This window comes from Homo sapiens, chromosome 1 (genome assembly GCF_000001405.40).
Source record: "Homo sapiens chromosome 1, GRCh38.p14 Primary Assembly".
Lineage (NCBI taxonomy): Eukaryota > Metazoa > Chordata > Mammalia > Primates > Hominidae > Homo > Homo sapiens.
In genome coordinates this window covers 228,232,069-228,251,303 of record NC_000001.11, presented here as the reverse complement: position 1 = coordinate 228,251,303, position 19,235 = coordinate 228,232,069, and the positions used below count along the sequence as shown (strand labels likewise).

General features: G+C 44.1%; 1 protein-coding gene across 4 annotated transcripts in view; it reads right to left on the bottom strand.

The window, feature by feature from the left end:
- Window positions 1-19,235, bottom strand: part of OBSCN (obscurin, cytoskeletal calmodulin and titin-interacting RhoGEF) — a 170,833-nt gene that overhangs the window by 127,573 nt on the left and 24,025 nt on the right. For all 4 annotated transcript variants that reach the window (NM_001386125.1, NM_001271223.3, NM_052843.4 and 1 more), the window contains 5 exons: window positions 7,846-8,121; window positions 6,733-7,008; window positions 5,616-5,891; window positions 4,501-4,776; window positions 1,064-1,339 (listed from right to left, as the gene is read on the bottom strand). In NM_001386125.1, coding sequence (NP_001373054.1) covers window positions 1,064-1,339; window positions 4,501-4,776; window positions 5,616-5,891; window positions 6,733-7,008; window positions 7,846-8,121 — 1,380 coding nt within the window. The remainder of the gene's footprint in view (window positions 1-1,063; window positions 1,340-4,500; window positions 4,777-5,615; window positions 5,892-6,732; window positions 7,009-7,845; window positions 8,122-19,235) is intronic.

The following is a 19,235-nucleotide window of genomic DNA, read 5'->3' as shown; positions in this document are numbered from 1 at the left end:
GAACAGTGCAATAGCTTTTTGAAGTCACAATTCCAATGCCAACTAGGTGTCAATACTTTGCAGGGCTGGGGCAAAGTTCTCCAGAGGCTGTCTGTGCTCTGAATCGGTGTCCAATATATGGCACTGTTTTTCCCATAGCCAGGATTCACGAATCCAGGAATCAAGGGATGGAAGTGGAAGTGGCACCACTCACCATCACCCCTAGTGACCCACTAGCAAAATTTTTGCTTCCTGTTCCCATGACATTACGTTCTGCCGGCTTAGAGGTCTTAGTTCCTGAAGGAGGAATGCTGCCACCAGGAGACACAACAACGATCCCATTAAACTGGAAGTTAAGATTGCCACCTGGCCACTTTGGGCTCCTCCTACCTTTAAGTCAACAGGCTAAGGGAGTTACATTGTTGGTTGGGGTGACTGACCCGAACTATCAAGATGAAATCAGTCTACTACTTCACAATGGAGGTAAGGAGGCATATGCGTGGAATACAGGCAATCTCTTAGGACATCTCTCAGTATTATCATGCCCTGCGATTAAGGTCAATGGGAAACTACGACAACCCAATCCAGGCAGGACTACAAATGACCTAGACCCTTCAGGAATGAAGGTTTGGGTCACTCCACCAGGAAAAAAATCAAAATATCTCTCGCTGACCAGAACTAGCATGTGCTGCTGGGTGAGGGCATATGGTAGCTTCCAGAACATATACTGACAGGATATTCACAGAGCCCCAGGAAAGAGATGCCTGGTCAACCTCAGAACCCAAGACAAGGGAGATCCAGAGTCCCAGAAGCCAAGGAGCACCAGGAAGGCTCTGGGCAGGTGCTAGGAATGAGTGACTGAGCATTACAAAGTGCAAACACACCTCCAGGTTTGCAGGAATAGCCCCTCTCCCTCCCATGCACACCCCTCCCTTGGCCCAGCCACAGGGATGGAAATGGGAGCAGGAGGATGGGAAGCCCGAGACATGAAGGTGGAAGGAAAGTGCACAGAGATATGCTGGTGCTACGAGCCAGAACCACCATCACCTCCGAAGAGGCTCCTCGGTGCCCACAAAGCACTGACCTGCCACGTCCAGGCTGAAGGAGAGCCGCTGGCCCCCGGCCTCGCAGCTATACTCCCCGGTGTCCGCCTGGCATGCCTGCTGCACCACCAGCCTCCGTGTGCAGCCCACAGCCTCCATTCGAACTTTCGAGCTGGAGCTCAGCTTCTTCCCGTCCTTGTACCACGTCACCTCTGTCTGGGCCTGGGCCACCTCGCAGCTCAGCGTGGCAATGGCCCCCGCCTCGGCCTGCACCTTCCTGTGTGCCAGCTGCTCCTTTGCAAACACCGCCTTGGGCTCTGGGGAAGGCAGGGATGCACAGGGTTACCACCACCATCTAGGTCAGGAAGGCAGCACTGGGAAGACAAGGCCTGGGAGGGGAAGTGGGAGGGACAGATGCTCTCCAGGCTGCACCACTGCCTCCCAGCACAAGAAACATAGTTTTTCCATCCATTCTGCATGGTGCCATGGGCTGTCCCAGGCAGGGCCACCATGACAGATCCTCCAGGGCAGGGACTGGAGTCCTGACGCCTGCACAGCTCCCCTCATAGATGTGCCGGGGTCTCCCCATGGGACTGTGCAGGGTGCGTCCTCACCCCAGGGCCCCAGAGTCTGAAGCTCCTGCTCCTGCCAGTCAGGAGGGTCAGCTCTGGCCTCTTGGAGGAGGGCCTGGGCCTCCCATGTCTTCCTGGGGCCATGTCAGGAGGACTGTCAGCTGGGCGCCTTCTGATGGTCTGGGGACGGAGTCCTCACTCTTCTATGGTGTCACTGTGCAAGTGCTTTGTCTGACTTTCAATAGCACTGTCTTTCTTTTACACCTTCATTTTAGGATCTCTTTTTACATCTAAATACTACAGCAGTGAGCTCTAGCATACTAGAGCGTTAGCATGTTAGAAATATCTTCCTTTTCTGTGTAGCTTGCCTTTTCATTCTCTTATGGTGTCTTCCAAAGAATCAAAATTTTTAATTTTAATGTATTCAAATATATCAAATGTGTTTCTTTGTGGTCAGGGCATGTGTGTTCTGTTTAGGAAGTCATGCTTTACTGTGAAGTCACTAGAAACATCTCTCTTTTCCTCTAAGGCTTGTATGGGTTTCCCCGGGATTCTGACATCTCTAACCAACTGGAGTTGACTTTGTGTGTGGTTGAGATCCTGGTCTGATTTTTTTTCCCATATGGTTTAATTGCCCAAAATCTGTTTTTCTTCTTCTTTTTTTTTTTCTGAGACAGGGTATCACTCTGTCACCCAGAGTGGAGTGCAGTGATGCCATCATAGCTAACTGCAGCTTCAGTCTCCTGAGTTCAAGCCATCCTCCCACCTCAGCTTCCCAAGTAGCTGGGACTACAGGTACATGCCACCACAGCCAGCTAATTGTTTTTCAATTTCTTGAGAGATGGGATCTTGCTCTGTTGCCCTAGGCAGGAATGCAGTGACGTGATTATAGCTAACTGCAGCCTCCAACTCCTGGGGCTCAAATATCCTCCTGCCTCAGCCTCCCAAGTAGCAGGGACTTACAGGTGCACACCACCATGCCTGGGTAATACGACTTTCTTCATAGCATACTATTCTCTTAGTATATTGCTAAATATATATGAATAATATGTTGTTTAAGATTTTGTCCTTGCTATCCATAATAGGTTGGCCTATATTTTTAATTCTTCCTACTTTGTATCAATGTTATGCTATCTACATGAAACAAATCAGAGAGTGTCTCTCTTCATTGTATTCTCTAGAAGAATCTCCATGAACATGGAATAATTTATTTGCAGATTGTTTGGTATAATTTACTGTAAAGTTGTTAGATATTGCTTAGAAATTTCTTACTGAAAATATTTTTGTTACTAGTCCCATTTATTTAAAAGTTATAGGACTATCTGAGTTGTGTATTTCTTTTTATGTTACTTTTTATATACTTTTTAAGCAATTTAACAATTTGTTGAACCTGTTCATATTTAATACCAGTAAATATTTGTCATACTCTCCTAAAATAGCATTTTAGAAAGATATATAGTGGGTTTACTGGCATCTATACCCACCCACAAACCACTGCACGGTGGTAATAACAGACTGTTATGTGTTGGCCCCCAGGCGTCAACATGAGGCTGCAGCCCACAGATCTCTGATGTTAAGATTCTCTTAATGAAAAGAAAATAAATGTAGTTTCAGAATTCTCTATGACCCAGTCAGGAAAAGCCACAGGCACAACATAATTACTGGGAAATGCTACTGAATAAATACTGCTTTTGCCAGTCAGGGGCTGCCTGATATGGTTTGCCTCAGTGTCCCCACCCAAATCTCACCTTGAATAGTAATAATCACCAGGTGTCAATGGTGGGACCAGGTGGGGATAATTGAATCATGGGGGCAGTTTCCCTCATGCTGTTCTTGTAATAGTGAGTGACTACTACCACCAAGATCTGATGGTTTTATAAGGAGCTCGCTTCTTTACTCAGCACTCATTCTTTCTCCTGCAGCCCTGTGAAGAGGTGCCTTCCGCCATGATTGTAAGTTTCCTAAGGCCTTGCAAGTTTCCTGAGGCCTTCCCAGCCATGGGGAACTGTGAGTCAATTCAACCTCTTTCCTTTATAAATTACCTACTCTTGGGTATGTCTTCATTAGCAGTGTGAGAACAGACTAATATACTGCTACTATTGCATCTCAGTTGTATCAGCACCTGGTAATGTCACCTAAGCTACTTATTCCTTTCCATTTCTAAATTTAAAAATCAAGCTCCAAGGAGAATCTGACATGTTCTAACTAAAAACAATGGAAAACAAGAGTTGTTCTTGGAAGAGAATTCCAGACCTCATGGGTGCATATCACAGGCTCATATGTACCAATCCATGCTGCTGTTTTACTTGACACAGACATTGCAACAAACATGGATCTAGGTTTTGCTACCTGTGGGTGCACAGGCAGCTTCCATGTCCATAAAAAGGAGGGGAGAAGGTCCCAGGACATAGAAAATCAGATAATCCACAGTGTGATCTTGAGATAATTCTATGTACGGTTGTGTGGCTGAAATTTCCCCTTCTCCCAGATAAGTTAAATTCAAACATCTGTCACTAGGGAGAACAAGCATGAGGTATGGGGTGCAGGCATGTGAGAGCTGCCAGACATTCAGTAGAAGGAAATTCACACAACCCCAGGTGGAGACACCTGGTCTACCTTGGACCACAGGGGCCTGGTAGAGAAGGAACAGCAGCAAGGTTCTAGGCAGATGATGGGAACGTATGATTGAGCATTATCACATGAAAACACCACTCCAGGTACACAGCAACAGCCCCTCTCCCTCCACACATATCCTTCCCATTTGGCCTCCCTTAACCACACCAGTTATGAAATAAGAATTGGGAGGGTTGGAAACAACAGAGGTAAAGGCTAATGGGAAGAGCACCAGAGTCTATCAGCCAGTCTCATCATCACCTCTACAAAGTTAGTACCCCCAAAGCACTGACCTGAAACATCCAGGTGGAAGGAGAGCCGCTGGCCCCCAGCCTCACAGGTGTACTCCCCAGCATCTGCCTGGCCTGCCTGCTGCACCACCAGCTGCCGCATGCAGCCCGCAGCCTCTATGCGCACTTTCGAACTGGAGCTCAGCTTCTTCCCATCCTTGTACCACGTCACCTCTGTCTGGGCCTGGGCCACCTCACAGCTCAGTGTGGCACTGGCCCCTGCCTCAGTCCGCACCTCATTATGCACCAACTGCTCCTTGGCAAACACTGCCTTGGGCTCTGAGGGTGGACAGGAGGGATGCGCAGTCAGAGACACAAATCTGGGACCAACCCATTTCACAGGCACCAAAGATTCAGGATTCAGTAACAACAAACAACTGATGAAAGACATAAACCCACAGACTCAAGATGTTCTACAATCCCAACCAGGATGAAGACAAAGGAAACCACACCTACATTCATCAAAGAAATACTACCACAAAGCAAAATCAAGAAGAAAATCTTAAAAGCAACAGGATGAAAAAAGGTACATGACCCTCAAAATATCCATAACAAATTTCACAGTTCATATTTCAAAGAAAATATGAACACCAGAAGATAATGGAATGACCTCTTTAAAATGTTAGGGAGTGGGGAGTAGCTGCTAAACTGTAATGTTATACCCAGATAAAACAGCCCTCAGAATCAAAGGGGGAACAAATATGTGTTCACAAGAGAAATAAAAAGTAAGAGAATGCATATGACCAGCTGACCTGCTAACATAAATACTGAAGACATAGTTCTACAAGAAGAAAAAAGAATAGTAATCCCAGAATACTGGGTCCAAATTCTGACTGCAATTTTCTGGCTTTGTGAACTGTGGTGAGTTACTTCCCTGTGTGTTATCTTAAAATGAGAATAATCAGAGTTCCTCCTCGCAAATTGTTTTGAAGTTTAAGCAAGCAGAAAGACTAGAAGCGCTTCACAAAATCTAGGTCCTCAGCACAAAATTAATACCTGTTAGTTGTTATTACAGGAGAAGCTTTATGAGAAAAAAGGCCCTTGGGCGGGACTTCCATACACACCCTAAGTCTGTAAAGATTATCCTAATAGCATAAGAAAGGCCTCAAAAAACTCACCTGTGATGTGCAGTTGAAAGGAGACTCTCTGGCCCCCAGCCTCGCAGCTGTACTCCCCAGCATCTGCTTTGCCCACCTGCTGCACTACCAGCCTTCGTGTGCAGCCCTTGACCTCCATGCGTACTTTTGAGCTGGAGCTCAGCTTCTTCCCGTCCTTGTACCACGTCACCTCTGTCTGGGGCTGGGCCACCTCACAGCTCAGCATGGCAGTGGTCCCCGCCTCAGCCTGCACCTCATTATGCACTGACTGCTCCTTCGCAAACACCCCCTTGGGCTCTGAGGGTGGACAAGGAAGGATGCACAGTCAGAGACACAGATCTGGGACCAACCCATTTCACAGGCACTGAAGCTTCAGGATTCAGTAATAGCAAACAGCTGATGAAAGACATAAATCCACAGACTCAAGATGCTCTACAATCCCAACACGGATGAAGACAAAGGAAACCACACCTAGGTTCATCAAAGAAAAAAATGCCATGAAACAAATTCAAAAAGAAAATCTTAAAAGCAACAGGATGAAAAAAGATACATGACCCTTAAAATGTCCACAATAAATCTTACAGTTGATATTTCAAAGGAAATATGGACGCCAGAAGACAATGGAATGACCTCTTTAAAATGTTAGGGAGTGGAGGAATAGCTGATAAACTGTAATGTTATACCCAGATAAAACAGTCCTCAGAATCAAAGGGAGAACAAATATATTTTCGTATGAGAAAAAAAGATAGAATATGTATAACCAGCAGAGCTGCTAACATAAATACTGAAGACAGAATTCTTCAAGAAGAAAAAAATAATAATAATCCCAGAATACTGGGTCCAAATTCTGACTACAACTTTCTGACTTTGTGAACTGTGGTAAGTTACTTCCTTGTGTGTTATCTTAAAATGGGAATAATCAAAGTTACTCCTCACAGAATAGTTTTGAATTTTAAGCAAGCAGAAAGACAAGAAGCATTTCACAAAATCTAGGCCTTCAGCACAAAATTAATACCTGCTAGTTGTTATTACAGGGGAAGCTCTATGAGAAAAAAAGGTCCTTGGGTGAGACCTCCATATGTACCCAAAGTCCCTAAAAACTATCCTAAAAGCACAAGAAAGGCCTCAAAAAACTCACCTGTGATGTGCAGGTGGAAGGAGACTCTCTGGCCCCCAGCCTCACAGCTGTACTCCCCAGCATCTGCTTTGCCCGCCTGTGGCAGCACCAGCCTCCGTGTGCACCCTTTGACCTCCATGCCCACTTTTGAGCTGGAGCTCAGCTTCTTCCCATCCTTGTACCACGTCACCTCCGTCTGGGCCTGGGCCACCTCACAGCTCAGCATGGCACTGGCCCCCGCCTCAGCCTGCACCTCATTATGCACTGACTGCTCCTTTGCAAACATCATCTTGGGCTCTGAGGGTGGACAAGGAGAGACGCACAGTCAGAGACACAAATCTGGGACCAACCCATTTCACAGGCGCTGAAGATTCGGGATTCAGTAACAGCAAACAGCTGATGAGAGACATAAACCCACAGACTCAAGATGCTCTACAATCCCAACACGGATGAAGACAAAGGAAACCACACCTAGGTTCATCAAAGAAAAAAATGCCATGAAGCAAATTCAAAAAGAAAATCTTAAAAGCAACAGGATGAAAAAAGATACATGACCCTTAAAATATCCAAAATAAATCTTACAGTTGATATTTCAAAGGAAATATGGACGCCAGAAGACAATGGAATGACCTCTTTAAAATATTATGGGGGTGGAGGGGTAGCTGCTAAACTGTAACGTTATACCCACATAAAACAGCCCTCAGAATCAAAGGGAAAACAAATATGTTTTCATATGAGAAAAAAATGAGAATATATATAACCAGCAGAGCAGCTTACATAAATACTGAAGATAATACTCTTCAAGAAGAAAAAAAGGAATAATAATCCCAGAATACTGGGTCCAAATCTTGACTGCAATTTTCTGGCTTTGTGAACTGTGGTAAATTACTTCCTTGTGTGTTATCTTAAAATGGGAATAATCAGAGTTCCTCCTCATAGGATTGTTTTGAAGTTTAAGCAAGCCGAAAGACAAGTAGCATTCACAAAATCTATGCCCCTTGGCACAAAATTAATACCTGCTAGTTGTTATTTTAGGGGAAGCTTTGTAAGAAAAGAGGCAATTAGGTGGCACCTCCACGCTAATGTCACTAAAAATTATCCTAAGGAACATAAGAAAGATCTCAAGAAACCCACCTGTGATGTGCAGGCGGAAGGAGACCCTCTGGCCCCTGGCCTCGCAGCTGTAGTCCCCGGCATCTGTCTTGCCTGCCTGCTGCACCACCAGCCTCCGTCTGCAGCCCTTGGCCTCTACATGCACTTTCAAGCTGGAGCTCAGCTTCTTCCCATCTTTGTACCACATCACCTCCGTCTGGGCCTGGGCCACCTCGCAGCTCAGCGTGGCACTGGCCCCTGCCTCAGCCTGCACCTCACTGTGTGCCACCTGGTCCTTGGCAAACACCACCTTGGGCTCTGGGGACAGAGTGGGACACACAGGGTCAGACATATTCCAATTACTAGAACTGAATGAGGGCCCACCTTCTTGATCTCAAAACTCTGATGGTTCAGCCACAAGCCTGCCCTGTTCCTGGATTTCTCAACAAAAAGAACTTTACGTTTTGAAGATGCACAGGGCAGGCAATAGGTTAGTTCTCAGAATCTGAAGCCTCCCAGTTAGATAATTTTCAGACTGGTATATGCTGCAATTCAGGCTCTGGCATTTATTTACCAGCTGTGATCTCCTAAGTATACAAACAAAGAGAAGGACAGTTTGTGACCTGCACACCAATGCATAGGTATTTTCAGACATAATTCCTTAAGTAACACTGGCAAAATGGGCAGTAGCACTGACTCACAAAGGACTGCTAATGCAGCCTACAACTTCTAGAGGGCCAATTGCCATTGGTATAATCTAATCCTAGGCCTTGGGATTGGATCTTTTCATTATTTTGGTTTCCTCATATCACTACTTTCAGCACCTATTATGTTACTTTAGATGACATTTTCCTCTTATGAAGTGTATCTATTGGTAATTCTCTCAGGAAGGTTTTGTGAATGGTAAACTCTGTCAATCTACTTCCTGAAAATGTCTTTATTTCACACTCACTTTTGAATGATAGCTTAGCTGGGTATAGAATTCTAGGTTGACAGCTGTTTTCCCTTGCTAATTTGGACATTATGCCATTATTTCATTTCTGGGCTCCTCATTGCTGCTGAAAAATCTATAGGAAAGGTAACTGTTGTTCTGTTAATATATTCTTCTGTCTGGTAGTTTTAAGGCTCTCCTCTTGGTTTTTGGCCTTCTACAATTCACTATGATATGTCTAGCCGAGAATTTATCTTCTTTACACTTACAATGATTCCTTGTGAGTCTATAAATTTAGGATTCATGTTGTTTATCATTTCTGAAATTTTTCTGCATGGCCTCTTTTATTATTTTTGCTTCTTCCTCACTCTCTGTAGTTTATCCTAAAAGTCCTTTTTTAAATTTACTAAAAACGTATACATTTATTATGAACAATGTGTTTTGAAATATGTATATACTGTGGAATTGCTAAATTGTGCTAGTTAACATATGCATTACCTCATATATGTATCGTTTTATGGTGAGAACACTAAAAATCCACTCTCTTAGCAATTTTCAAGAATACAATACATTGTTATTAACTACAGTCACCATGTTGTACAATAGATCTCTTGAACTTATTCCTCCAAACTGAAACTTTGTACACTTTGACCAACATCTCCATGACCTAGCTCCCCCTCAAGCCTCCGGTACTTTACTCTCCACTTCTACGAGTTCAACATTTTTGGATTCCACATATAAGTGAGACTGTGCAGTAACTGTCTTTATGTTTTATTTCACTTAACATAACATCCTCCAGCTTCACCCATGTAGTTGAGTGGCAGCTGAATAGCATCCCCCTGCATACCATAATATACAACACATATTCTTCATCCATTCATCTGCTGTTGGACACTTAGATTTTTTAAAAATCTTTTTAAAAACATATTTGTGCCCAACATACAAAAGATGGTGTTTTTATGTTGTAAATTAATTTTTACAAAGGAAATAATGATGCATCCAGCTGCCTGCCTTTCACTAGCTCATCCTTGGTGACCTGGTGGCTCTGCTAGGGCTGGCAGATGGACAGCAGCAGGTGGTGAGGCTCTGACACCCCCTCATGTCACAGCAGTAACCGGAGGCCACAGAGGCCAGAACCAGCCCTGCATCTTACCCCTGCTCTCTCTCTTGCCCTTCAAAGCCTGGTTGGGGAAACAGCTGTAGACACCAGCTGTGTCCACATCCTCATCTCAGATCTGCTTAGCAGCCATGGAGCCCTTGCTCCTGCTAAGGTCACCTGTGCCCACTGGGGCTGCGGTCCTTCAGCCCTTCCCCAGCCGCTCCTGCTTCACCATGGCATTCACACCTGCACGTCACTTATGCATCAAAGTCTTCACTGACCCCAAAATACGACTCTCTAGATTCTCTTCCTGCTCCTTTGGGCCTCTTCCTTGGTGGTCTCAGCCTCCTCAGTGTTGCCCCAGGGCGAGCCTTGTTATCACGGTCCCTTGCCCATGGTGTCCTGGTGCACGCCCACCCTCTCCTGCCGTTGACATGCCAACAAATCCCAAAGCTCCCTTGTCAGCTCAGCATCGACCGAGGTCCAGCCCAGAGAGCTACTCCCTCCTGGATGTCCCACATAGGCTAATATAGCAACCCCCAACATCCCCAGCACTTTCTTTATCTGTCCTGACCCACCTGCAAGTTTTCCCCTCCAGGCTTGAACCAGGCATGGATAAAGGTGTTTAGGCTGTTGCTCAAGACTCTGAGAAATCCGCCATCTTGCTAAATACAGAGAAAGCCACCCTGCTTGGCCCTGAGCCAGAGTCCTCATCCCTGAGATAAACTCCATACCCTGACCCCTCATGGCAGACATGCCTGGGTGGGACATCTGCCTTCTTGCTGTCTGTTACAAGAATATGCTGCAGTCCTCCTCTGTAAGCAAGTTCCTCTAATAAAGCTCTGGACTGATCGCCCTGGGGTTTGGTGCTTCTTTCTGTGGAATCCTAAGCATCCCACTGTGGGACGGTTTGGGGCACTCCCTTGTGGGAACTCCTTGCCACTGCCTTTGTGGCAACTCCAGCCCCAGGTTGGACAGGACGGAACAGCTCCTCACCCATTTCTCCCCGCACACCTACTCCTTGCCTACTGCCCCATCTCAGATACAGCCCCTGCATCTACGCATCTGCCCAAGCTTGCAGTTCACCTCCCATCTCCTCTGTTCTCAACCCTGAACCCACCTGGCCACCACTCTGTTGTGCTCCACCTCTGGTTTTTTTTTTCTTTTTTTTTTTTTTGAGACGGAGTCTTGCTCTGTTGCCCAGGCTGGAGTGCAGTGGCGCAATCTTGGCTCACTGCAAGCTCCGCCTCCTGGGTTCATGCCATTCTCCTGCCTCAGCCTCCCAAGTAGCTGGGACTACAGGTGCCCACCACCATGCCTGGCTAACTTTTTGTATTTTTAGTAGAGACAGGGTTTCACCGTGTTAGCCAGGATGGTCTCAATCTCCTGACCTCGCGATCCGCCCGCCTCGGCCTCCCGAAGTGCTGGGACTACACTTCGGGCCACCGCGCCCCAGCCTGTGCTCCACCTCTTAAATGGCTCTTGAGCCTATGGCCTCCTCTCCACCCTCGGGACCTCGGGCCCTCTGCAGACCCAGCCCTCTCCTCCACCCACGGGACCACTGTCCCTCTGTAGGCCCGGCCCTCCCCTCCCTGGACCAGGCAGGGCAGAGCCTCCCGCCTCTGATCCCCCCCATCCTAATCTAGTCTCCATGGTGCAGTCAAAGTCTAACTGTGAAACTTCTATGTTTTCATCCCCAGGAATTAAGGACCAAAGTCCACTCCGGAGGTGTACAGGACAGCCCAAGTGAGTGGACACCAGCTTTCAAATGCACCTCCAAGTCCACACCTGTCTTCAAAACGATCACTAAAAGAGCTGCTGTGTTTTTAAACCAAGTTGACTAAGTGTTACCGCCTCACTGAGCATGCTGAGGAGTCCCAGAGCCGAACCTCTGCAGCCAGATGTTCTCAGGGACCCGGGTATGGATTCAGGCACTGCGAGGATCTTGCAAGGACCCACACAGCAGCCTGTCAGCAACGTGTCTTCAGCAGCGGTGCTAGCACTGGGCATGTGGCAGACCAGCATCCCGCATGAGCACCTCTAAGCATGAGCACAGATGCAAATCCAGTCACACAGCCGCAGCATACTCAACCAGCTGGGCAGCTACATCTGCTGCTCATTCCATGGCCCTCGAATCTGCCTGATCACCAAGGGAGGGCTTCCCCAAGCTCTTTGACATTTGTTATGTTTGCTTTAGAGAAGGACTCACAAAGTACTTTCAGGGAAACTGTGTCTCTTTGATATGCACTTCACAAAATCACTCACAATCACACTGCATGTGGATGTGTTTGAGAATGGGAATGTGTTTTAATATGTGTATGTAATATGTATGAGCAAGTGTGTATGTTTAAGTGTGTTTTCATGTGTATGTGTATCATGCATGTATTTGTGTGTATGAGATGAAGCATGTGTATGCACATGTGTGTACGTTTGTGTATATGTGTTTAAATGTGTATATGTATGTGTGCAAGTGTACATGTGTTTGAATGTATGTATATGGTATAAGTGTGTATGGGGGTATATGTGTATATAGGTGTATGTGGGAGTGAGGTGTCTGTGCGTGTATATATGTAGGTGAGTGCATATGTAGGTATTGTGTGTGTATTATGTTTAGGTTTGTGTGTGTCTATGTATGTGTGTGTATATATGTCTTGTGTGTTGTTTGTGTGTATTTAAATGTATTTATGCATATGTAAATGTGTTGTTGGGATATGTATGCATGTATGTGCAAGTGTGTGTGTGTGAGTTTATATGTGTGTGTGTTCATGTGTGGGTGGTGTATGTGTGAGTGCATGTGTATGTTGTGCAAGTGTGTGTAGGTGCATGTGAGTGCACGTGTGCATGTGTGTACATTCATACGTGTGAGTGCATGTGTGTGTAGGTGTGCATGTTAGAATGTGTGTGTGCATATGAGTGCATTGTGAGCATGTGTGTGCACATGTATGTGTAGGCGTGTGTGAGAGTATGTGTGTGTAAGTGCACTGTATGCATGCATGTGTGTGTGAGTGCACAGGTGACTGCCTGCCTGCAGCTGCACTAGGGAGGAGGCATGCAGCAGTCTCGGTGGCCCCTCAGTGCAGCTAAGCCACTGAATCAGGTCCCCAGCTACCTACCTGGTGGTTTACCTGCGACATTCGCCTGAATGAGATACAAATACCCTCGCAAGGATGCTTAGACTTGTCTCACGCAAGAAATGCCAAGGTCTGGGTTCATTTGCATATTTATAATAAAACTTGCAGTTTTCAAAAGCACCTACTGGTGGCTCCACTCTTGGAGGTGCACACCCCACATCTCACCTGTGAGACCAAGGAGCTGCTATCTGAACACTCAGAAAGGAGAGCAGCAGGTGGATGGGGGCGGCAGAGGAACAGCATTCAAAGTCCCAGCACCCTTCATCCCATGACCTGTGCACCCAAAACCCAGAGGCGGGCATTTGTGCAGAGCGGGCTCCCAGTGAATCCTGTAGCCTCCCTCAAGGTATGGAAGAGGGAAGCACAAGTGCTCAGAGAGGACAGAAGACACCCCTGTTTCTTCTTCTTTCTCACACCCCAGACCATGCAGGTGTGAACAACTAAACTCCTGATAAAGGAAACACTCTGTCCAGGCACAATGGCTCATGCCAGTAATCCCAGCACTTTGGGAGGTTGAAGTGGGTGGATCATTTGAGGTTAGTTCAAGACCAGCCTAGCCACATGGTGAAACCCCGCCTCTACTAAAAATACAAAAATTAGCCATATGTGGCCAGGCACAGTGGCTCACGCCTGTAATCCTAGCACTTTGGGAGGCTGAGGCGGATGGATCACCTGATCAGCCTGGCTAACATGGCAAAATCCCGTCTCTACTAAAAACACAAAAATTAGCCAGGCATGGTGGCACATGCCTGTAATCCCAGCTACTCGGGAGGCTGAGACAGGAGAATCACTTGAACCTGGGAGGCAGAGGTTGCAGTGAGCCAAGATCGCACCACTGCACTCCAGCCTGGGCAACAGAGTGAGACCCTGTCTCAATTAAAAAAAAAAAAATCAAAAAGCAAAAAATACAAATTAGTCGGGTGTGGTAGCAGGTGCCTGTAGTCCCAGATACTTGGGAGGCTGAGGCAGGAGAATCACTTGAACCCAGGAGGTGGAGGTTGCAGTGAGCCAAGATTGTGCCACTGCACTACAGCCTGGGTGACAGAGCGAGACTCCATCTCAAAAAAAAAAAAAAAAAAAAAGGGAAACACTCCTCTTCAATGGAAGGGGCTCTGATCTCAAGGGTAAGCACTGTTGATTTTTTTTTTCTCTGTCCTCCTGGCGCTCAGCTCTGGCACATACAGTTGCAACCATAAGAAGCAGGATCAGGGCAGCAAACACAAAGCTCCAGTTTTTTGTCTGTAGAACTGAAAGGCAAGCTCCAGGAAAGCAGAAAGTCCTGGAGAGGATCCTGGAAAGGGAGATGCTCGAAAAATAGAACACAAAGTTGTTCAAGAACTCCAGGGCTCCCCCTAGAGGCACACATCACTGTACTCGGGGACAAAGCACTGCCCACATACACACGACCACAGGAGGTGCACGGGCAGGACAGATCAAACCACACAGGCTTTGAAGACATCAACCCACAGAAGTCAACTAGGCTGATTTCCAGCTTGAAAAAAAAAATCAACATTCCCCTAGTATGTAAAGAAGACCTGAAGTCATGTAACATAGTCTTCAAAATACCCAGGACACCATCTGAAATTACGGGGCATAGGAAGAATCAAGTAGCATGCACATGAAAAGACTACCAACAGATACCACCGTCAAGATGACACCAATGCTGGAATTATCTGACGATTTTCAAGCAGTTAATACAAAAATGCTTCAACAAGTAAAAGCAAATACCCTTGAAAGGAATGGGAACATTAAAAAGTCTCAGCAAAGAAAGAGAAGATATAAAGAAAAACTGAGTGGAAAGTTTATAAGAAGAAAAGATAGTAATTGAAATAATTCACTGTATAGGCTCAATAGTTGAATATCAATAACAGAAGAAAGTTAGTGAAATTGAAGACAGATCAATAGAAATTATCCAATCCAAACAACAGAGAGAAAGGGATTTAAAACAAAACAAAAAAACAGAGCCTCAGGGACCTGTAAGATGATTCTGAAAGATCTAACATTGAAGTCATTATCCCTAGAAGCAGAAGATAAAATATAGTTCAGAAACAATAATCTGAAGAAATAATGACTAAAAATCTCCCAAATTTGGAAGAAGACATAAACCAGATTAGATGAATTTGGCAAGCCCCAAACAGAATAAACCCCAAAAAATCCACACCCACATGTATCATTTTAAAAGAGTTAAAAATTAAAGACAAAGAAAAAAATTTTGAAAGCAAGCAGAGAAGACCAACACATTATTTGTAGGGGAACAGTTTGAATGACTGTTAATTTCTCACCCTGTGTGTGTGTGTGTGTGTGTGTGTGTGTGTGTGTGTGTAAAATCATGATGTTGTACAGCTTAAATATATTCAATCTTTATTTGTCAATTAAATATTTTTTTAATCATGAAGGCCAGAATAAGTGGAACATTTTTTCAAGTGCTAAAAGAAAAGAACCATCAACCCAGAATTCTCAATTTTCCAAAAATATCTTTCAGGAATGCAGGTGAAATAGACACATTCTGAATAAAGGAAAACTAAGAAGATGCACTGATGGCAGAGCTGCTCTAAAAGAATTGCTAAAGGATGTCCTTCAGACAGAAGGGAAATGATATCTCAGGGAAACTTGCAACAGCAGGAATGAGGCAAGAGTAACAGAAATGCTGAACATCTAGGCAAATAAAACAGATTATATTCCTCCTCTTGAGTTCTTTAAAATAAATTTCATAGTTAAAAAACAAAAATTATATTATCTGATGAGGTTTTCAGTGAATGTAGAGATAATACGTAAGATAACTACCATAATAATTTAAAGGTCAGGGAGTAAAAGAGACCTATGTGATGGTAGGAGTTCTCTATTCCAGTGGAGGTGATAAAATACTGATCTTAAGTAGATGATGAAGAGTTAAGTATGTTAAGTGCAATCCATAGGTGACCAAAAAAAATCACAATAGATACATTAAAAAGAAATACTAAAAAAAAAAATCTAAATAACCCAAAATGGGCAGAAAAGTTGAAACAGAAGAACCGAAAAAAAGGGGAAAAAACAGAAAAATGTAATAAAATAGTCAACCTGGATCCAAATATATTAATCACAACATAAATGAAAATAGAATAAATACATCCATAGTAGGACAGAGATTATCAGTTGGAAAGTAGTGAGCCAACTACATGTTATCTACAAGAAACTCACCTCCAATATAATTATATGGGCAGGTTCAAAGTACAAGAATGGCAAAATACATGTAATACAAACACTAATAATACAAGTCTGGATTGTTTGTTCATATTAATATCAAACAACGAAAATTTCAGAACAAAGAAAATTACCAGGGAGAAAGAGGGACATTACATAAGGATAAAGATGTCAGTTTGCAAAGAAGACAAAATGATCTTCACAATGTAACTTCAAAATACATGCTGCAAAAATCGATAGCACTGAAAGTAAAAACAGACAAATCCACAATCATAGCTGAGGATTTCAACACTCTTCTCTCAATAACTGATAAAACTGGCAGACAGAAAAGCATCAAGGATACAGATGAACTGAACCATGAGCCATCATGACCTAAGTGACACTGGTAGGATCCACCCAACAACAGCAGAAAACACTCCTTTCCAGAACACATAGAATGTTCGCCCACCTAGGACATATTCTGGTTCAGGAAACAAATTTAAGAGAATTGAAATGTTTCAAAGTTATGTTCTCTGACCAAAATGGAATTAGACTACAAATCAGTAACAGAAAGGTAACAGTAAAATCTCTGAACACATGGAAATTAAACCCACTTCTGAATAATCTACACATTTAAGAGGCAGTATCAAGGGAAATTAGAAATTATCTTCAACTGGACAACAATGAAAATACCACATCAGGGCCAGGTGTGGTGGCTCATGCCTGTAATCCTAGCACTTTGGGAGGCTGAGGCGGGCGGATCACCTGAGGTCAGGAGTTCAAGACCAGCCTGGCCAACATGGTGAAACCCCGTCTCTACTAAAAACACAAAAATTAGCCAGATATGGTGGTGCATGCCTGTAATCCCAGCTACATGGGAGGCTGAGGCAGGAGAATCGCTTGAATCTGGGAGGCGGAGGTTGCAGTGAGCTGAGATCATGCCATCGCACTCCAGCCTGGGGGATAAGAGTGAGACTTCGTCTCCAAAAAAAAAAAAAAAAAGAAAATACCACATCAGAATGTGTGTGATAAAGCTAAAGCAGTGCTTAGAGAAAAAATTGCTGTATGAAATATTTATATTAGCAAGAAGTATTTCAATCAGGAAACTAATAGTCTACCTTAAGAAATTAGGTAAGGAAGAGCAAAATAAACCCAGAGCAAGATGAAGGATGGAAATAAAGAAAAAAGCAGAAATCAATAACATTGATGAAAATAGAGAAAATCAATGAAACCTAAAACTGGTTCCTTGAAAAGATCAATAAAACTGACAAACCTCTAACAAGACAAAGAAAAAAAGAGAGAGAAAAGACAAACTAACAATATCAGTAATGAAACAAGGCTATCCCTGCAGACCCTACAGACACTATGGTAATAAGGAAACACTACAAACAACTCCATGCACATAAATTAAATCCATTTGAATAAATGGACCAATTCCCCAGAAACCACAAATTACCAATACTCACCCAAGATAAAATAGACAACTTGTACAGTCCCACATCTATTAAATAAATTGTCTTGGTGATTTAAATATTCCACAAAAAGAAATCTCTAGGCCAAGATGGCATTACTTGCTTCGTCAATGAAATAACTTAAAAAGATGTTTTAAAAGTAACAGAAATAACATCAATTCTACACAATATCTTCTTGAAAACAGAAGAGAAGGGAAATGCTTTCCATCCCATTTTTTTGAGGACAGCATTACCCTGATATCAAAACCAGACAAAGACAGTATATGAAAACCACAAACTAAAATTCTCCATTAACATAAAAATAAAAATACTCAGCAACATATCAGCCGACTGAATCCAGTATGTAAGAAGAATAACACACCACAAACCCAAACACATCCAAAGAATGCAAGGCTGGTTCAATATTCAAAAACCCCTGGCAGAGATGTCAGCAAAAATGACAAAATAATAACTTCTGAAAAACCTCTCCTCCACAAAAGAAAGAAAAGCACTGGCCAAAAAAAATGTTGAAATCAACTTTTCAGAAGTCTGAAAATTAATCAAAGACTTGCAGCAATCTGGGGAGCATTCACCCATGAAAAACAACTGCATCTCAGTAAGAATAGCTAGATGTGTGGTGTTTTAACCCACCCAATTCTTAAACCTACCAGACTCTAGCTCTGAGATAACTGTGAAAACCAACAGTCCACAATCAGGATGAAGACCAGCACCCTGGCAACCCGCAGAGAGGGCCATTCCTAGAGCACTGTCATTATTTCACCTGTTTGGTAGCTCCCTGGAAAACTCGCTCACCAGGGCTGAATTTGTTTGGCCTGAGTAGTTCACCCAGTGCAAAAGCATTTTCTCAAGAAGCATTTTTTGAAAAAATATCAGAGGTAATTACAAACACAATGGCTGCTTGAAGCAGTGGAGAACGGTTGCAATGAACAATAGTCTAACCAAAAGTCTCTAGCCTAAAAGGAAATGCTGGAGAACAAGACATCCACAGGAGGCTTTGGAAAGCTCCAACAACACACTCCTGGGCACAGAGAGGGTCACACATATGCACAGGCTGTGTGCACACTCAGGTAATGCCTGAGAAGGCCTAACACTCACACAGCTGGCTAGCCTTGAGGTTCTGTGAGGCCAGAAGTAAAGGCACAGGTAGAGCTGTCGTCTGCCTAGCTGTGTTGAATGCATGGGCCAATTTCCACACACAGGCCCCAAAGACAGGCAGACTTATTGTTGGAGACATCTATTAAAATCACTGTTCTAATCATCAGCTGGCCAATAAGCTCACTGAGCAGAGGCTTCAGTGGCCACCCATGATAAGGAACATAGACTTTACAGAATTGGTTCAGAAAAGTCACTAAACATACACAAACAAAAGCAACAGAAACAGCAACAAAAATTAACAGCATCTGTGATATGCTGTGATATACACATCCAATGGAACATTATTCAGCCATAAAAAGTAATGAAGCACTGGAACATGTTACGCACAACTTGGAGGAATCTTGAAAAGTTTACACAAAGTAAAAGAACCAGATACAAGCGACACATATTGCATGATTTCTATTACATGAAGTATCCAGAACAAACGAATCTGTAGAGACAACGAGCAAAACGCAGGGTGGCCAGATGGTGGGGGGAAGGAAGAA